General features: G+C 36.5%; 1 protein-coding gene and 1 non-coding gene across 4 annotated transcripts in view, besides 5 other annotated features; both read right to left on the bottom strand.

Moving 5' to 3' along the window:
- The window catches only part of C12orf42 (chromosome 12 open reading frame 42), a 516,167-nt gene that overhangs the window by 48,572 nt on the left and 447,616 nt on the right, over nucleotides 1-19,979 (bottom strand). The window lies entirely within an intron of this gene.
- Nucleotides 6,435-6,514: an enhancer, noted in NCBI's record as "active region_6886". NCBI's record gives its function as "activates an Ori minimal core promoter by ATAC-STARR-seq in GM12878 lymphoblastoid cells {active_cell/tissue: GM12878}" and the evidence as "EXISTENCE:reporter gene assay evidence [ECO:0000049][PMID:35858748]".
- Nucleotides 6,615-6,724: an enhancer, noted in NCBI's record as "active region_6887". NCBI's record gives its function as "activates an Ori minimal core promoter by ATAC-STARR-seq in GM12878 lymphoblastoid cells {active_cell/tissue: GM12878}" and the evidence as "EXISTENCE:reporter gene assay evidence [ECO:0000049][PMID:35858748]".
- Nucleotides 9,958-10,007: a silencer, noted in NCBI's record as "silent region_4777". NCBI's record gives its function as "represses an Ori minimal core promoter by ATAC-STARR-seq in GM12878 lymphoblastoid cells {active_cell/tissue: GM12878}" and the evidence as "EXISTENCE:reporter gene assay evidence [ECO:0000049][PMID:35858748]".
- On the bottom strand, nucleotides 17,839-17,903 carry LOC124903096 (U7 small nuclear RNA). Its single transcript, XR_007063619.1, has one exon. It is a non-coding gene; the product is annotated as a U7 small nuclear RNA (small nuclear RNA).
- Nucleotides 18,260-18,309: an enhancer, noted in NCBI's record as "active region_6888". NCBI's record gives its function as "activates an Ori minimal core promoter by ATAC-STARR-seq in GM12878 lymphoblastoid cells {active_cell/tissue: GM12878}" and the evidence as "EXISTENCE:reporter gene assay evidence [ECO:0000049][PMID:35858748]".
- Nucleotides 18,410-18,459: an enhancer, noted in NCBI's record as "active region_6889". NCBI's record gives its function as "activates an Ori minimal core promoter by ATAC-STARR-seq in GM12878 lymphoblastoid cells {active_cell/tissue: GM12878}" and the evidence as "EXISTENCE:reporter gene assay evidence [ECO:0000049][PMID:35858748]".

Genomic DNA, 19,979 nt, shown 5'->3' on the forward strand with positions numbered 1-19,979 from the left:
GAATGTAGAACAGGAAATTATCTGATTACAAGGTTTGTAAAGGCATACAGTGCCCAACAAGCACACATTTTTTGTTAGTAAATAATCATGGCTTTATAAGAATGGAATAATTTTTTTTCAATTTAGGTGTATTTTTTATTAAAATGGCTATCATTTGAATAAAAATTCGTAGGACATAAATGCCTATTAAGTTGTTCGGACCCAAGTACTTAATAAACAGAACTTTTAGATATTTATTTTGGCCTTGAGGCACTGTGAAAAAATTTTTGAGTCCTCAAGGGTGCCATGAAAGGAAAAAATTTGAGCACCTCTGGCCTTGACTTACTAACGTATGATTTTATTGATTTCAGTTACAATCATATCAAATTAGCTTGGCAACCTTGTGGTCCCGTATTTATGAAAAGTTCTGATTGGCAATTCCATAAAGATTTTTGGTAGAAAGTAATTATTAATGAACAATAGCAAATAATCAATAAATACTTCTTAGATTTGAAAGAGTTCTTTCAAAACATAAGGAAGCTGAGGAAAAGATATTTAAAGGGTCCTTGGTGGAGGATGGGTGGAGAAACTTACACCTTGTTCAAGGCCCTGGTTTAACACATGAGGAAGCTGAGACCTGGCACAGTTTAGTGACATGCTTGCAGTCACACAGCTGGTAAAGGAAGAACCAGGGCCAACAACTAGTGTCTTGCCACTTTTCCACTGTACTTCACCAGGCTTCCTCCTTGTGTCTATATGGTGTTTATAAAGAGATTTTTGAATATATTGTGATGTTGATAGGCAAACAATCACTGTACATTTTCTCTACTAAAGAGTGTACTTTCCTCTCAATGTTGTGTCCTCACAGCCTGGCAAAATTACTGGAAGACATACTAAAAGTTTATGCTAAATTGAATTATTTATGACCATTTAATCTACAGATCATATTTCTTAATCTCAGATATATATTGAAAATAACTAACCTAACTGGAAAGTTAGAGTATCACTTAGTTTACAAAAGAAAGCAATTAGCTCTAGTTAATGTGTCAACACATTAAAAATTGATTGTGTTGAGCCGGTGGGTTTGGAGATGATTTTAGTTCATAGCACTTCTTGTGAAATGCTAGAGAATACAGAGAGCTATATATAGCACTCTCCATTAAGAGAAACATCTGATTAAGTAGACAAAGGCTTTAGCATTCTTTATGTAGTGCATGTCTTAGGATTCGAATATAAGAATATTTTGAATTTCATCCTAGGCAACAGAAATACGAGTCTCATTTATGAAATCCAAATCAGTAATCTGAGAAATGTGTTGAGTTAGTGACTTTAAGTATTTAGAGTTGTCTACAGAGTCTTTCAAAAATGAGAAAATATAGAAAAATGCCTGCTGCTTTAACATTTTGCACTGTACAGATGGTTCCCTGGCCAACATAATTTTCTCTCTCATTTTGATGATACAGACTGGAAAATGTCTCAACCAAATTAAGCTAATGGAGGTCAGTGTGTGGTATGTGCCATTAATTTGAAAAACAAGGAGATAGATAGAGGAAAGACAGGTAATGATTTGTGACAGAGGCACCCAAATTTGATTTAAACAATTCAATTATCCTTTTTAAAGTCCCCCAAAGAAATGCGCTGCAAAGCCCTTCATTCCCCACTCATGCGGATGGGACACAAAAGCTGCTTTTGATAATAGTTCCATATCACTTCCTCTGTGACACGCTGTGGGGACTGCAAGCCACAAAACAAAACAAACACCTTCATGTCCTATTGTGAAAAGTTCAAGGTGGTCATACAGGTGAAGAGCTGTCCTCGTATGACCTGAAGAACAGGAGATTGCAAGTTGCATTTAGAAAGGCTTTCTTAGACAACATCCCTCTGGAAATATTGGGTCAATATTGCCAAAGCAGTTCTAGCATTACAAGAAAGTTATTTAAGGAAATTTCTATCTGCAACTGCCAAAGGATGCAAGGTAAATTTATGGTTCCGCCATGGCCTCAGAATGGAAACCAATGGAAATATGTACACTTGTTGAGCACATAGGCCCTGAAAGGAGAATCACACCTGGCCCTGTGGCCTATTAGGTACCTAACCATGGGCAGATTGGTTAGCTCCTCTAGGCATCATTTTTTTAATGTGTTAAATGGAGATAATATTAAGACTTACCTCATAAAATCCTTAGAAGGATTAAATGAAGTAATTCATATACAGCTCTTACAAACAAATGACATTTGTGTAGGTCAGAACCAACTTACTAAAGATACCAGAGAAACTATTTTTTAAAAAAATAAAGACTTCATATATTATTGGTTTTTCTTATTTTAATAACTGCAAAAACAATTCAAAGTCTGCGTTTCAGCCATCATCTGGGAACTTCTTTGGAAATCAATGCATGTCATCTCTCACCCTGAAAAGAAGCAAGGGTCATTTGCTTACCTTGACATCGTGCAGCTTCATCTAGAGAGGTAAAGCCCATGTATGAGTTAGTGATCTTTTGAAAATGCTGCCTAAGAGAGGCACCAAAAAGAAAGTCAGAAGGGTCCATTAGCATCTTTCTAGCATCTGAAACAGGACACCCACAAAAGTATTTCAGAATCTTTTAAAATGCAGGCTTTGCAAAGAGTTCCACCTATAATAATGCCTACAGGGACTGCAAAACCATCATGCTATCCTACATATTCATGGAATGAATAAAAGCAACTGGGTGGATTTGATTGAGCAAAGACTGGAGTTGTAAGCAGTATCTGGCACATAGTAAGTTCTCAATAACTGGAAGCTAAGGTGATGGTAACAAAGATAACAGATATAGCAGAAGGGAAAGCACATCTTAAGAGGAAAACAAAAAAGAAATTCAGTTAGATATTGTTTGTCAATGACAATGTAGATAATAAAAAAAAATTGTTCATCCTACCATAAATATTTGATCTGGAAGTAATTTTTATTTAACTACTGTATCCTAAAGCTCCACATTTGCAAGGGCTGTGAGTTGAAATATGACCTGGATATTAAATGCTCCAAAATATTAAATAGCTGATCATATTTTGTTGGACTCCTAGATGGAAAATGCAAACACATAGTTCACTTTTTGACAACTTTGTGATGTGGATTACCTAACTGAACAATTATTGAGCATTTACTCATCTCTATGTGTTTAGTCAACCAAAAATTATCAATAAGTAGAAATAGCTTTATAGCAGCTCTTTGTCTAGCAAGGGATACAGATGCACAAACCAATAATTTAAAAATCCAGTGGAGGAAAGAGGTATTTACAAGAGCATACAGATACTGGACACTGAAGACATTCAGAGGCCAGGACTGGGGCTTGGAGGGTGAGCTAAGGAGTTAAGAATTTTTATCACTTTGACCATTGCCTACTTTGTCAAATACGAAGCCAATTATAACAGATATTTATTTCAGAGAACACTGAAAGAATGAAGAAAGTATAACATCCAAGGAGAGCAGATTTTTATTTTACTTACTTAAAATATAAGGCATTTTTCTTATGATTTTAAAATAGTATACTTGGGAAACCATTTTCTAGTGCTTCTGTATTTCAAGCAAATAGGACCAATTCTCAACAACCTGGTGATAAAAACCCTTTTTTTCTAAAACCCTAATATAGATTAGAAAGTTTGCATGACGTTTTATAGACAACTTTCATTTCTATGGACTGAGCAAATATACCAAGTTTTTTGTGAATAAGAGAACATGCATCTCTTGAGTAGATAAACCTATTGCTGACTCTTGGTGCCAAATGCCCACTTTGATTAGAATTTCCTCTCTTTTCCACTACAGAATATTTTTGCCAGATGGAATAATTTACCCAAGCTTGCCACACCTGCAATTTTTTTGTTTTGCTCAAAGTGCATTTTTAGTCTGATTCTCCATATTGCATGTAATTTTGGTTTTTGCTTGGATGAGGAAATCAAACTGTCTGTACTGTTCTCTGTCTGTTCAGATACCCAAGGCAGGGGGCAGAGGCCCAGTGTGTCTTGCCTGTGTATCCATACATGCCATCCCCACAGGACTGGCCCAAACTTTGGCGGGCAATCTTGCCCGCAGAATCGGTGAGCTGATGATGAATGGCTGTGAAGGCTTTGTGATTGCTCAGGCTCCTTTGTGGGGCTGGACAATGGAGGAGGACACAAGTCTGGCTCAGGAGAGCAACGGATAAAACTGCTGGGCAGGATGGCGGGCTCCTGCCGACACGACCACTTGTTGACATTGAAAGAATTTCACAACAACTGAGCAGAAACAGAAACGATTCTGTTCGGCAGGGCTATTAGTTGCAACGTGTGGCACCGGAGCGGTCACTCCTGATGTGTTTCCTCACTAATGAGCTCTGAATGCCCATTAAACTGGGCTGCTATAGGCCCAGAACCACCCGGACAATGGCATGCATGAATGCCTTCCCCTGTTGCTATTGGTTGGCCCAAGGAAGAAACAACTGGTATCACTCAAATTTAAACAGAGTTGACAGTACAGTTAAATGATCATTAATTAGAGTGTGTGGGCAGATAAAGACTCAGAGCCATTTCTAATGACAAGATAGGTTAGCGTGACTCACTTGGAAGCATAACCCAGTCTGGCTCTGCCCTATTTCTTGGGCCATGTGGAGAGGCTTACAAGGGATTTTAGATAGGGTAAAATAATCTGTATAATAGTGTGTTGGAGAGGACAAAAAAAAGATATATAAGGCAAAGAGGTTTTTGGATGACTAGGAGTACCTCCCAAGATAGTGGTGAGAACTGAATTCGATTATACATTCAAAAAGTCTTCTGGGATGTGGTAGTGAGGTGGAAAGAGTGAGAGACTTTGATTTAAAACCAGGTTCGAATCCTGGCTCTTAAATATAATTGTTGGGTAATCTTGAGCATCATTTTAAACTCGGGAGCCTCCATTTCTTCACCTGGAAAATGGGATAATCCTAATACCAACTTCACAAGGTTATCACAAGGATCAAAAGAAGACCTTGCAAGTTAGGTTGACTGTTGCTGATCTCTCTCTTTTGAGTAGCATACATTATGCATGGATATGCCTTGGGTAGAATGGTCCACTAGCCTGTAGAACAGTAAAGGTAAAAACTGTTCTAGTGAAAGGGCAAATTTAAACTTTGTTTTCCAAACATTTCATTCTGAGAGGAATGATTCAAGCTGCATTAACACCTCAGATAAGCTCAAGAGAAAAGTTGATTATTCTCATAGGCACTTCTCCTAATTGTTCATCTCATGATAGTTTTTCCTTAAAAATAATGGCAGTAGAGCTGAATAAAGAACAATATTTAACAATAGCCATTATCATCAAGAAATTGACATCTTGTTCAGAAAATTAAAAACTATACTCATGTTCATCCTTGATGTCAACATTCATCCCTAAGCTGATCACTCCTAAATCTCTATCTAGAACATCATCCGCTCTGCTATCATCCATGTCTAGAACCCAAACTACCCACTGAACATACCTAAATGGATATTTCATAAGTGCCTCAAAATTAATGTCTGTAAAAGTCAGCTTTTGTTGTATTTTAAACTACCCCAAAACCTGGTGGCTCAAAACAATAACTACTAATTTAGCTCATAATTCTGTGGGTTGGCAATTTGGGCTGGGTTCAACAAGGTGGTTGTTCTGGTGTTGGCTGGATTTACTCGTGTGTCTGTGGTCAGCTGTCTGCTAAGGTGAGGCCTGCCTGGCCCAGAATAAGTCAGGATGACCTATCTCTGCTGCATGTAGTCTTCCATCCAGTAGTAGGCTAAACTAGAGTTGCTCACATGGGGCTGCATGGTACCAAGAGAAAGAGCAAAGGTGTTCAGGGCCTCTTGAGGCCTAGAGTTAGAACTGGTATGCCATTACTTCCTCTTTATTCTATTGGCCAATACAAGACTCAAGTCCAGCCCAGATTCAAGGGGTGGGAGAAGAGGAGTGAATGGGTTTCCACTTCTTGGTGGTAAGAACTGCAAAGATCCATTGCAAAGAAGCATGTTCACATGGAGAGAAATAATTGGGACCATTTTTATTAACAGTCCCAAACTGAACTCATTATGTTCCTAGTAAAACTTTTCCTCACCTTTGTTTTCTCTAATTTGGTTAAAAGAATCAAGATCTTCCCCAAAACCTTAAGGCCATTCTGGGACATTCCATGTTGACATTTACTGGATGACTAAGTTCATGTCTACCTTCTTAATTTATCTTCATTCAACACTGTCATCATTTCCATTCCAGAACACTCAGTGTTAATCTAGATCTGTCTCATTTGGGACTGAGCCGTTACAGTAACCCAACTGATCTCTCTGTCTTACTAGGGTGTCCAAGGGAGAGAATGCAGTCATGGGTTCTTAGTTTCTGTTTCTGGTTGGGCCAGTAAAGTCCCTTCCTCATCGCTCTTCAGAATATGGGTACAGACAGAAACTAAAAACTATAGCTTCTCACTGCTAAAAAGCTTAAAATAAAACAGAACAATGACAACAACAAAATAAGGCAGGTTGGACAGGCTTGTCTATTGCAATGTATAAAGTTAGCACAAATTTAGCAGCTTAAAACAACTCCTATTTATTATCTCATGATTCCTGTAGGTCAGATGTCAGGTTGAGGTTTGCTGGATTCTCTACTCAGGGTCTCATGAGGATGTATTCACGATGATAGTTGGACTATGCTCCTTTCTGGAGCTCAGGGTCTTTTACCAAGCTCATGTGACTCTTGGCAGACTTCAGTTCCTTAGAGTTGTAGGGCTGAAATGCCTGCTTTCTTGGTGGCCATCAACTGGAGACCACTCTCAGCTCTAGAAGTCACCTATTATTCCTGCCACAGGTCTTCTCCATACACATGAGAGTTTATTTCTTCCAGACCAACAGAAACACATCTCACTGACTTTCATCTTTCCTCCACCCTAGTATGCTAAGACAGTCTTAGACATAATCTAACTAAGCACAAGAGTGACTCTCTCACCATCATTTGCTATATAATGTAACCTAATCAAGGGAGCCATCATATCCATAGGTTCCTTCCAAGCTCAAGCATAGGGGATTACACAATGTGTGCACATCAGGAAGTGGAAAGCTTGGGAACCACTTCAGAATTCTACTACATCCTCCTCCAACCCATCTTCCCTGAAAACAGCCATCTCTTTAGGATGCAAACTGGATTACACCATCCCTAGGCTTTTAATCCCTTCCTAGATCCCTACTGCCTATAAGGTAAGGATCTTCCTTAACTGTTTGAATCTCTCCCTTGAAAATATTTCTCACATAAACAAGGACACAGGGAAAAGGATCTCAGCTTTGGATGTAGCACATTGAATCAGAGAGGTAGATAGGCTAGCAGAAAAGTCACAGGCATATAAAGGATCTATTTGAACTTGAAATGTACCACTATCTGTTAGATTTTTTAATTTTATTTAATCATAGCCCCTATGGATCCTGAGAAATCATCAGAAGGAAGATATTTTGAGCCCAATATTTTTTTTTCCTTTAAGATTCTGGAAAATAAAATGTAAGCACACTGCATACAAACATAAGTTCATACTTATTAAAAACGTATTAAAACGATTACAATAATCTCCAAAATCTATAGTTATAAATATTCAACATAATTTAAATTAATCGATAGTAATCAATTTCATATAATAGCTCACTTTTTTTTTTTTTTTCAGACGGAGTCTCGCTCTGTCGCCTGGCTGGAGTGCAGTGGTGCGATCGCGGCTCACTGCAACCTCCGCCTCCCAGGTTCAAGCGATTCTCCTGCCTCAGCTTCCCAAGTAGCTGGGATTACAGGCACGTGCCACCACGCCCAATAGCTCACATTTATTATGTGGCTACTATATGTGGGCGTTGTGCCCAGCTTATATACATCATTTTATTTAAATCTTATGACAGTCAAATGCAGTAGTTATGAATAAATGCATTTTAAATGAGAAAACTGAAGCAGAAAAAAAGGCATATCACAGCTAATAAATGGCAAAAAACAGTACTCCAACATATGTATCTGTATAAGTAAGATTACCTGTGAGCACTTGCAGTCTGGCAACATGATAGACAGACTCATTACAGAGCCCATTCCTGGATAAAACGCATACACGTATTGATGAAATATAACATGGTTTAGTTAAACACACATAAGTTCAAAATAAAGAAAGATATACTCCAAGATATCAGCATAAACAGCCAGAGTGAAGACTGAACAAACAAATTGAATACCAATCCAGGGGATGTCAGATTTGGATCTGTATACCAATAGCTAGGCGTTAGGGTTTCCATGTTTGTTGTTGTTTGTTTATTTGTTTGTTTTTTGAGATGGAGTCTCACTCTGTTGCCAGGCTGAAGTGCAGTGGCACAATCTCAGCTCTCTGCATCCTTCACCTCCTGGGTTCAAGCAATTCCCCTGCCTCAGCCTCCCAAGCAGCTGGGACTACAGGCATGCGCCACCATGCCCAGCTAATTTTTTGTATTTTAGTAGAGATGGGTTTTCACCATGTTGGCCGGGATGGTCTCAATCTCCTGACCTCATGATCCACCTGCCTCCCAAAGTGCTGGCATTACAGGCGTGAGCCACCGCGCCTGGCCGGGTTTTCCATGTTTATTCAGGAACAGAAAACAAAGAAGATATGGCCTTGGGCCACTCAAGATGTGCAGCTGAACCTGAGGCATCCACATAAGGTTCTAACCCTGGTGGGGCTGCCCCACCACACAGGGAAGGAAAGAACGTCATCTTCACACACAAGGTCATGGAAGTAGCAAGGACATTTGTCTCTGTTTGAGGCTCTAGGCAGGACAAAAAAGTCTCCACCTTCCCCATGAAGTATCAAAACCCAAGCCTGAATTGCCTGCAGGTGTGGCGTGTTAATGCACATTTCCACACTGCACTGGTATTCTAAGCAAAGAAACACAAGTAAGGATTTGTCTTATACAGAAATCTCTGGGCCAACCACCAAAAGCAAATGAATCCATTGTACACTGTATAGAGACTCTTCTACCCTGGTGTGTAGAACCCCAAAAGAAGAAAATACATATAATGATGATGTCAAAAATTACAATCATATGGGAGAATGATCCACTGTAAGGGAGAATCAGCAGACACAATAAAGAGAAAGATGAGTACCCCCACAATTTCAGATATTATTATGTCCAAAGGAGATAATAAAATTGAAAATAAGAACCTTAATTTAAAAGATAATATAACATGGATGGAGCTGGAGGTCGTAATCCTAAACAAATTAATGCAGAAGCAGAAACAGAAAACCAAATACTCCATGATCTCACTTAAAGTAGGAGCTAAGCATTGAGCACACATGAACATAAATATGGAAACAATAGACACTATGGACTATGAGAGGGTCCATGGGAAAGGTTAAAAAAAATACACCTACCAAGTACTATGCTCCCTACCAGGCTGATGGGATCTGTACACCAAATCTCAGCACCACCAGGCAATATTCCCATGTAACAAACCTGCACATATACCTCCCATATCTAAAATAAAAGTTGAAATTAAGTAGAAAATGTAAAATAGACTGAAAACTCAGACAGTAGATTAGAAGAAAAACTACAAGGTACGGCTTAAAATGTAGAATTTCATTTAAACTAAAAACTCAATACACAAATTGACAACAAATTCGGAGAAAAATAATGACCTGGAGCTAAATATGAAGAAATTTCACAGAATGCTACATAGAGGGATGAAATAATAAAACATTTGAAAGAGATGTTAATGACAAGGAAGATATAGTGAAAGAGGATGATTTTAATAGACACTCCACAAGATGAGATTAGAGAATGGGTGAGAGGAAATATTCAAAAATTGATTGAGATTTTCCAGAGTTTATTACAAACACAAATCCATCTACTGAAGAAGAACATTAGTACCAAGCACGCTGAAAACGGTGAATCCATACCTGATACATCATAATGAAACTGTAGAGAAAACTTATTTTTACCTCATCATGAGTAAAAAATATATTCCCTCCTGTGGAATAGTAGGGTGGCAAAAGACTTTCAGGCAACAAAAATAGAAGTCAGAAGATAATGAAATAATGCCTAACTCAACTAACACTTAAGAATGTGAGTAAATAAAGACATTTCAGTCATGAAATGACTGAGCCAGTTTATCACTCACAGACCCTCATTGAAAAAAATTACTAAATGATGTGCTTGACTAAGAAAGAGGCTGAAACTGAAAAGAGTAGGCTGCAAGAAGCAATGGTGAAAAAATAAAATAATGAAAATAGAATAAAAATAAAATAAACATGTGGGTAAAAATAAACAAGCATTGACTATTTTCTTTTAAACAGAGTAATTTGGGTTTGTTTAAAAAAATATGGAATTATAATTTTAGACAACCATAACATTAAAAAAAGTGGCATGAGTGATCTAAGTTTTTTGTTTTCTTCTGAGGGAATGTGGGGATATTGTTAAACTTTAAGCTCTGTGAATACAGAGTTTAAAATTATGGGTACCCAGTAAAAGTATGAAAATAATATATATGACATCAATGCATAGTCGGGGAAAAGAAGGAATCGTCTCAAGAAGGCAGGAAAAGAGGAGAAAAAAAGAAGCACCAACAAAAGAAAGCATGGTAAAAATAAAACTAGAAGTCAAACAACAAAAAAGAAGTAATATGTTCATCAATAATCACAAGAAATAGGAATTAATTTAACTCCATATTCTAAAGAAAGATATTCTGAGATGGAATAAAAATATAAAATCTTGCTTAGACTGTTTCTAAGAGACATTCCTGAAATATAATAATGAAAGACTGAAAGGGGTAAGAAGGAAAAGTGTATACCAGAAAAGATATTCACCAAAAGAAGGCAGATGCAGCATTATTGATGTTAGGCAAATAAGCCTTTAAGAGACAAAGAATTATTAAGAATAGTGATAAAAGGAATAATTTACTAGAAAACTATCTTAACCTGAAATAACTAAATCATATAGACTCTACTATGTAAAGCAGCAATTGGCAAACTTGATATAGATAATGACAGATTAACAAACACGGTTTGCAGTTTTCACATACTTCTTTGAGAAATTAGTAAGCCAGCTAAGCAGAAAAAATAATTTTTATAAGTCACGAAAAATTTTGCAAAACAAAATAAAAACGATTAACTATATATGTTACACATTGGAAACTTACAGCCCCAAATTAGAAAATAGTATTATTGAAGTAAGCACACCGTTAACATTTACAAATTTGACCAAACAAAAAGTCACAATGCAATTGTCAAAAAGCCCCAGAAAATCGAAATACACATCTGTTTTCTTATACCTTGGCACGAGTAAGTATAAAAAAATAGAATTATAGTTAGAAACTGCCAATATATTTGAAAATTAGCAAAACATTTTAAAATAATTTACTGTTTAAAATGTGTTATTGAAGTTACAAAATATTTAAAATCAAATGACAAGATAAGCACTACCTTTTAAAGATCATAAAATGAAGCTAGTACTTGGAGAAAATTTATAATCTTTAACACAAATTAGAAAGGGGGAAAGATTAAAAATGAGTTAAACATTTAAATCAAGAAATTAGGAAATGAATAACATTGTAAATCTACAGTAACTAGAAGAAAGGAAATAATGAAGGGAATATATTAATGAAAAAGAAAAAGAGAAAACAACCATGCCAAAAGCTTTTCTATTGAAAAGACTAATAAAATCATTCTCTAGCTTGACTGATTGAAAAAAAAGAGAGAAGAAAGAAATAGTCAAAATTAGAAAGTTTAAAAGGGCAAATAAACACAGACGTAGAACATATTTAAAAGTATTAAGTGATATTTTAAACAACATAATATCAATTAATTTAACACAAATTATAAAAATGAACAATATCTAGGTAAATATAAATAACTATAATTGATTAAAGAAAAAATAGAAGACATGAGCAGATTTATTTTTAATCATCATATAAATTTAATCTACCAAACACCACCTGTTCCCCAAAAACCTATTAAAATAAATAATAATAATTTTTTAAAAAGAAAGGAAAAAATAAATAAATTTAATCTATATCCAAAATTTCTTTGTTATAAAAAAGAATAGGCCACTATAATTTTACTAGAGTCCTCTTAAACTTTCCAAGAACAATTGTCCTGTTATATAAGATGTTTTAGAAAAGAGCAAAAAAGGAAAAACTCCCCAAATCACTTAAGGAGGCCAATTACCTCTTCATAGCAAAAGTAGACAAATCAGTATTAGAAAGAAAACTTAAAGGCCTATCTCCTTCAGAAGTATAAATGCAAAAGTCACAAATAAAATAGCAATTAATTGAACCCATCTCCTATGTGTGTATGTGTGTGTTTATACATAGTATTTAACATTAGAAATATTGGTTAATGTAGTTTATCATGTCAGCAGATTAAAGAAAAAAATGGTAATTTGAAAAAACAGAGAAAATACAACCCAGTAATTATTTAAAAACTTTTAACAAAATGGAAATTGAAGGAATCTTTCTGAAAGACAATCTGTCTCAAACTGTAAGTAAACATAAGTATTGATAGAAGCATTTCCTTCAAAGTCAGAAACAAATCAAGAGTGCCAGTTATCAAGTTCTATTCAACATTGTATGGAAGGTCTTAGCTAGTTGCAATAAAAAATAATGTGAATTAGCCAAGGACCAAGATAAAATAGCTGCAAAACACATATCTGACAAAGCACTTGTATTCACAATATAAAAAGAACTTTTCCAGAATATATAAATAACTACAAATTACCTATGAATAAATCCAAGCAAAGATGTGAAAGCTCCTATCGATAAAATTATAAAATTTTGTTGAGGCACACAAGGAAGATGTTAATATTTGAAGAGAGATACATATGTCCTTGTAGGAAGACTTAATATCATAGGATGTTAATTCTCATCTAATAAATCTCTAAATTCAATGCAACTAATCACAACCTTACAGAGTTTTTCATGAGCTTGATAGAAAACTAATTCTAAAATTAATATGGATGAGTAAAGGGCCAAGAATGATCAACAAAAATTTGAAGAAGAATTAGGAGGGGAAATTTTCTTGTTCAGATATCAAGTTATTATAAAGCTAGATTAATAAAATCTGGATGATATTGGCATACTAGTAGACAAACAGACCAATGAAACAGACTAGAGAACTTGGAAACAAATCCATTTACACATATAGGAGAGAGAGACAGAATGTGTGTGTGTGTGAACCCATTTACACACACGGGTGTGCGTGTGTGTGTCTGTAGGCACATGCCAGAGCCTGTGTAAAACTGGTATATGATGAAGGTAACATTGTAGATCACTGGAGAGTGAGAGGCGGTGGTGTACGGGAGAAACACTGACAACATGTTCTGGGACATCCGGCTTGCCATTCCAGATGGGTTAAAGCTCTAGATGTGAAATGCGAAACTTTAATACATTTAGAAAGAGAAAAGAGAAAATGCTTTTATTATAATTACATAATATAATTTATATAATATAATTAAATATTATATAATTTCTGAAAAATAATACCATATATAAGACGCAAAAAGCATAAGCCATAAATGAGAAGACTGATTAGAAATGGCACTACATTAAAATTTAAATATCTATATCAAAATAGACACCATGAACAAATAAAAAAGAGAAGCCACAGATTTTTTAAAATGCAAATGAAAAGATTAAAGACAATGTATTAGCATCCAAAACATATAAATAATTTCAACTATTGTTAATTAAGTAACAAACAATTCCTCCCACTCAATGTCCACAATGAAATGGTTATTAATGAAGTAATTCACAGAGAGGGAGTCAAAATATCAAAAAACGTCAATAGTAACCAGGAAAATTTCAGTAAAGCAACAGTGAGACAATGTAAGTGCCTCAAGTTTATAAAAATAAAAGTCTGGGCGAAAGAGCAAGACTCTGTCTCAAAAAATAAAAAATAAAAGTCTGATGACGTCAGAGGTTTGATGGTGTTCAGTGTCAAGGTTTGCATGGGAATCAGAACCACACAGTCTGCTGCAACCTCTTTGGAGAGTAATAACCCACATGTCCATCAGCAGAGGATAAACAAATGCATTACATGCTGAAATAATATAGGATAAAAAAATCAGAGAAAGAGATGTATAAGTATCAACATGGTGAAACTAGAAAAACTTGTCTAATGAACAAAGCAATTATCAAAAGTAGACCTTGAGTATGAAGGCATTTATATAAATTCTCAAAACACACAAAGCAAGATTACATATTGCTAATGGTAACATATGTATGCAGTAAACTTAAAAGTATAGAAGGATATATAGCCACCTCAGGATAAGTAAGGGTTATCTCTGGGAATGAAGAAAGAGTTTAATGGGAAAGATTATCTTCAGATCCATTTCATTTAAAACAAAAGCTCTGAAGCAACTATGGCAAAGTATTTTTGTTAAAATCTAAGTGGTGGGTACAAAGAAGTTTGATATGTTACTTTCTGAGCTTTTTTTAAGGTTTGAAATATATTATAACTAAAATAAAGTTTAAAAACAACTACACAAAGTTTCTGGCTAATGCAAATACTGAATAAAGCTGCCCCAAATCTTTATGAGTTATAATACAAATAAACAACTATCCCCAGCTTTATTACAGGTTTTCAAAATCCTTCTAGATTATAGAAAAAGGATAACTTGCTACATTTTAAACTTGGTATGTGCATTTGAGAAGACAGATTTGGCAAGGGTTTTATTTACAAACAAGGAATATATCCTGGAACCACTAATTGTTAGTCATCTATAGTAAATATGCACATAGATTTTTAAGTGGTGACACCAAATGGGTACTTGGTACCTGTTAGAAGTCATGTTTCCCACATTCTCAGCACCAATAATGACTGAAAGGGCCAGACAGCACTAGGCAGTTCTTGGTTTTAATCAAAACTCTACATGTTTTAACTGCCAGGAAACTCAGAGTTCACTGAATTATTGTTATTGCAGTGAATTTAACCTAGTTTGGGGTCTTATTTATTTATTCTTTCTATTACTTAGCTTTTATTTGTGATTTCCCTTTAAACCAATTCCAAAAGCAATACAAAATGAAAATGAAACATTAAAAAATAATAGAAATGTAAAAAAAAACACTTGTTCTCTTTGATTTTGTGACTATTCATTGATGTGTATTAAAACTTTTTATGATTTCTATTTTCTCCTGTCTGAGGGTAATTTTCATGTTTTGAAGTCAATGACTAAATTTCACTTCTGCACAAATGTAATTGGAATTCCTACTAGTTGGTTTATTCCAACAACAACCTCTTTTATGCCTTCTATTTAGCCTTCTGTGGAGGTTTACATCATTTACCATTCATTCGGTCATTCATTGATTCGATGAATATTAGTGAGTGCTTACTACATATATTCAAAGCACACATGAAGAAATTTGAAAAGTTACCAGAAACGTGGTCTCTTAAGGAAAGTAATGGTGTCATGTAAAGATGGCCCTTGAGAAATGGTAGACAGATTCAAAAGCATTGCATTCCTTTTGATTCTTTCAGGGCAGCTCCTCATGTACGAGTTTAGGGGCATACAAGACAGCATTAGTAGCACTTTTGTTATCCGGTGGTCTCTCATTCCCTAATGCTCACTCGAAGCACCCTTCAGAAGCACATTTTCATCATGCTAAGAATTCACACAGAATTTTAAGAGTCATGACTCCATTATTCTAATTTCAGAATTTACCTACATTATCACAAGGATAGGAAAAAAGGAACATGAAGAATCAGTATTTGAAATGATTTCTAATTGTTCTGAGGTAATCTTGTAGAGTCAGAAAATCTACAATGATAAGAACAAACCCTGTCTATTCTATTTCTAGCCTGACATTCCATGGAAGGATTTGGCAATTCCAGAATTGCTCCAATTTCTGATAAGAGTCTGATGAGTTTTAGTCTGTGGTCTTATCTGCGTATCATATTACTCAAAACATCTCTTTATAAATAATGCCCAACTTAAATTTCATTAACAATAAATAGATGGGATCCACAGGGTTGTGTGCAAAAACCAGTGAAGCGTGTTTTCTAGCCTGTGGATGTGGGATAGGTAGGAGGCCTGGCCAGGATGAGGCCAGCACAAAGATGCAATCTTGGGACTTGAAGGAAAGAGTTAAGCGTTATGAGGCATTTAGCTTAGGAAAATTAGGAATTCAGCTTAAGAATATGCCTTTGCTCCTTTCTATCTCAAATTTTACCTCATTCATTTTGATAGGTGGTCAGATTATTCCCTGATTTAACTACTTCATTGTGGCCAGGCGTGGTGGCTTACACCTGTAATTCCAGCACTTTGGGAAGCCGAGGCAGGCGGATCACCTGAGGTCAGGAGTTCCAGACAAGCCTAGCCAACAGAGTGAAACCCTGTGTCTACTAAAATACAAAAAAATTAGCAGAGCATGGTGGCAAGCACCTGTAATCCCAGCTACTCGGGAGGCTGAGGCATGAGAATCGCTTGAACCCAGGAGGCAGAGGTTGCAGTGAACCGAGACTGTGCCACTGCATTCCAGCCTGGGCAACAGAGTGAGATTCTGTCTCAAAAACAATAATAATAAAATAATAATACTTCATTGCTTTCCCTAAGCTGCTAGATGAAATACAAACTAAGTCCTTAACTTGGAATGCCACAGACTTCATGATCTGGTCTCTACAGCTCTAACTTCATGTCTCCCTGGTATGCCAAGCTCTCCATGGCTGAGATTGATACTTCTCTTCTATTATCCCATAGCATTCACTGCATCCTTCTACCGTAGCACTCACCACACAGTGCTGTACCTGCTGGCCTACTTCTAATCACCTCACCGTTTACTGGTCATGTAATCTTGTTCATTAAGCATTTGTTGAATGACTGAAAGAATAAATGACAGGAAGGAGACTTTTGAACTTGTAGAGTCCCAAGGCTATGAAATGACAGGTTTGCAACCATCTAACGTATTGTGATAGCCACATTTGAGGAATTCAGCTTGACCCATCTTTTTTTTTTTGGAAAAGATACTGGAAAACTTGTGGAGATGGTGAAATTTGTTCAGTGCTTTTTATTTACTCTTTCTCCCTGACATTGGGCACCCTTGTTCTAGCCTCTCTTCCTGTTTCTATTGTCCCTAAACTAAAGTCATACTGAGATATGAGTGGTAGTGGGTTACTGCTTTCGGCGTCCTTCCATCTTTAAAGGACTTCACTGAAACAAACATGTTTAGCCCAAAGGGAAACAAATATTTAGTGGATTTCAGATCTAGCAACAAGGAAGAGAAGGAAGGTGTTTGGGGGCTGAGGCTTCCTCAGCATCTCTCAACCGATATTAAGTTAAATAACCCAAATATCTTGCATGCAAAATGCTCCCACATTCCGGGGTATGGAGTAGGAACTCAACTAATTTGAGTTCTTTTCTCCTAAAGTTTTGGTTTTCAACATTTGGCCATGTCTGGAGACATTTTGGGTTGTTACAATTAAGGGGGTGCTACTGGCATCTAGTGGGTAGAGGACCTTGATGTTGCTTACCATCGTATAGTGCACATATTAACCTCCTGACCCCACCAACAAAGAATCATCCAGGCCAAAGTGTCAATGGTGCTGAATTTGAGAGAGTTTGGTTTAAGGTAAGTAAAGTTTAATAATGGAAATTTGGAATATGCTAATTCCCTTCTAAGTGGAAATAATTTGCTTTTCCTAAATACTGTGGAATTCTTCCAATATATGTCTCAGATACATGGTTTTGTGAACAGTTACCTAGGATTCAGGGCATAGAAATACCATTTCCAACCAGGTTGCACATTTATTTCATCTCTTACATGTTTCTTTTTGGCAAATGGGGCCATGTACATGAATGCTACTATACACTCAACAGTTTAGATTTTTTTGTTAAATTATAGTTTTTCTTTAAATAGACAATTGGTTGATTGATTTACTTTCATGGGGGCGTTTTCTATTGAAAATCAGAAAACCTACTAGAAAAATTCTAAAAACTAACAAACAACCTTTAATACCGTGACTAGTAATTGTTCTTTCCCTCCCAGTAGAAAAAAAAATACATATATATGCTTTCCATTATTGTTAAAGTGTTTCAATAAAGTGGGAGACATTCTGTTGACAGGTTTAAAATGTTCAAATACAACTTTGTGTTTTACGTTTTAAAGAAAGATCAGTTTAGACGGTGGGGATAGAAAGCCAGTGGGAGTTATGGCCATTTGTGGTGCACGGGAAGCGTGGCCTAAAGAGAAGGGCCCTGGGTTAGGACTCAGATGGTCTGTCTCTTAATCTGATGGTCCTCAAGATGTGGTCCCTGGAGCAGTAACGGCATCAATATTTTCCTGGGGATTTGTGAGAAATGCAAGTTCTCAGGCTCCACTCCAGACCTGCAGACTCACACACTCTGGGTTGGGGCCCAGCACACAAGCCCTCAAGGGGACTCTGATAAACACCAGAGTGTGGGAACTGCAGACCTAAACTCTTTCACTTCTGCTTTTATCATGTGGGCAAGTTAGTTACCTTCTCTGCCCCTCAGCTTTGTATATTTGTCCCCTTGCATGAGAATGCAAGGAGACTTGGATATAAAGGTACTTTGTAAACTGAAAAGCATAATGCAGTATTATTAATCCATGACAAATCAGAATTAGAAACAATGCTGTTGAGGACAGAAGGCCTGGACCTCATTTTCAAATGTGTCCTTGACTTTTTCTGTTTATTACCCCAAAGCAGACATATCCACCCAGGGACAGTGGCTCAGGCCATTTACCAATCAGATAGAGGATTCATGGAAATGACTCAGTGTTTACCAGGGCAAGCAAGAAAACTTGCAAGCCATGCAAAAAAGGCACGCCCAAACAACTAATGAGTGTTAGCATCCTGGCATAATTGTGTCTCAATGTACTTGGTCTTTGCCGTGACCAATTGTACACTGAACTTCAGTCTCCCTGATAAAGTCTCAGAACTAAAAATACACTGTAAAAACGGCATTGAGTTCTGGCTGGTCACACATCATCTTGCAAAAAGGGAATAAAGTCTTTATGTTAATCTCTAAATATTTTCAAAATTAATCTCTCATACTATTATTTCCTTCTTCATTGCTAGGCTGCCATGCAATAAATGCTCTCAAATTGTGGAACTGCAGTTGAAACCCTAAAGAGTCAGTGGGTTATTTTTTATTGCGACCATAAAATAACCTGGACATCTTTTTGTGTTCCAGTTGAAGTTTTAACATGATATTATGAGAGCCTTTGCCTTTCTCCACACCCCAATTACAGCTTAGCAAAGCCACCATATACTGGAAGCTAAGAATTCTAAGCTATTTTATTTCCTCTGTCACACTAAAGTCAAAAGAGCATCTTAGAAAATTGTGTAGACACTAAAGTAAAATCATTGTAAAGGTTATTTCTATTTAGGGCATATGGAGAAGGTAGTAATTTATTTATCCATGGCTAGTTTTGGCCTTAGTACTCATCCATAAAAGCAGAATCTCGTTACCCACTTCCCGGAGTTGTTTTGAGAATTTAATAAGATAGTAAGATATTTAGTACATGTAAAGGATTTAGTGCAGTAGTTGACACATAGTATGTGCTCATTTAAGAACATAGATATTTATCTCCAAAAGTTAGTTCAAAGACCCAGGCTTGCTTTTGTGAACAAAAAGGGACTTCTCCCAGTTCTACCCATAGCATTTGGATTTTCTTGGTAAGGGACTGGATTCACTTATCGAAATCATGAAAACAGTGATGGGTTTTATAAAACTGTAGCTTGATTTGGTCTAGATCATCTGCACAGTAGCACATGAGCATGAGTTCAGTCATGGGGTGCTTTGGACTTGGCGTTTGGGTTATCAAAGAACATTTGTGAAACAATGGATCGATATGTGAACATATTATTGCACCTCTGATAAGGAGAGTCAAATGGAGCAAATTTTTACTGCCAAAATGGGGAGCTGATCAACGTGTCCTTTGCCTCCTGATGAAATATAAATTTGGGGCCGGGCGCAGTGGCTCACGCCTGTAATCCCAGCACTTTGGGAGGCCAAGGCGGGCAGATTACCTGAGGTCAGGAGTTTGAGATCAGCCTGGGC

The sequence above is a fragment of the Homo sapiens genome, chromosome 12, assembly GCF_000001405.40.
Source record: "Homo sapiens chromosome 12, GRCh38.p14 Primary Assembly".
NCBI lineage: Eukaryota > Metazoa > Chordata > Mammalia > Primates > Hominidae > Homo > Homo sapiens.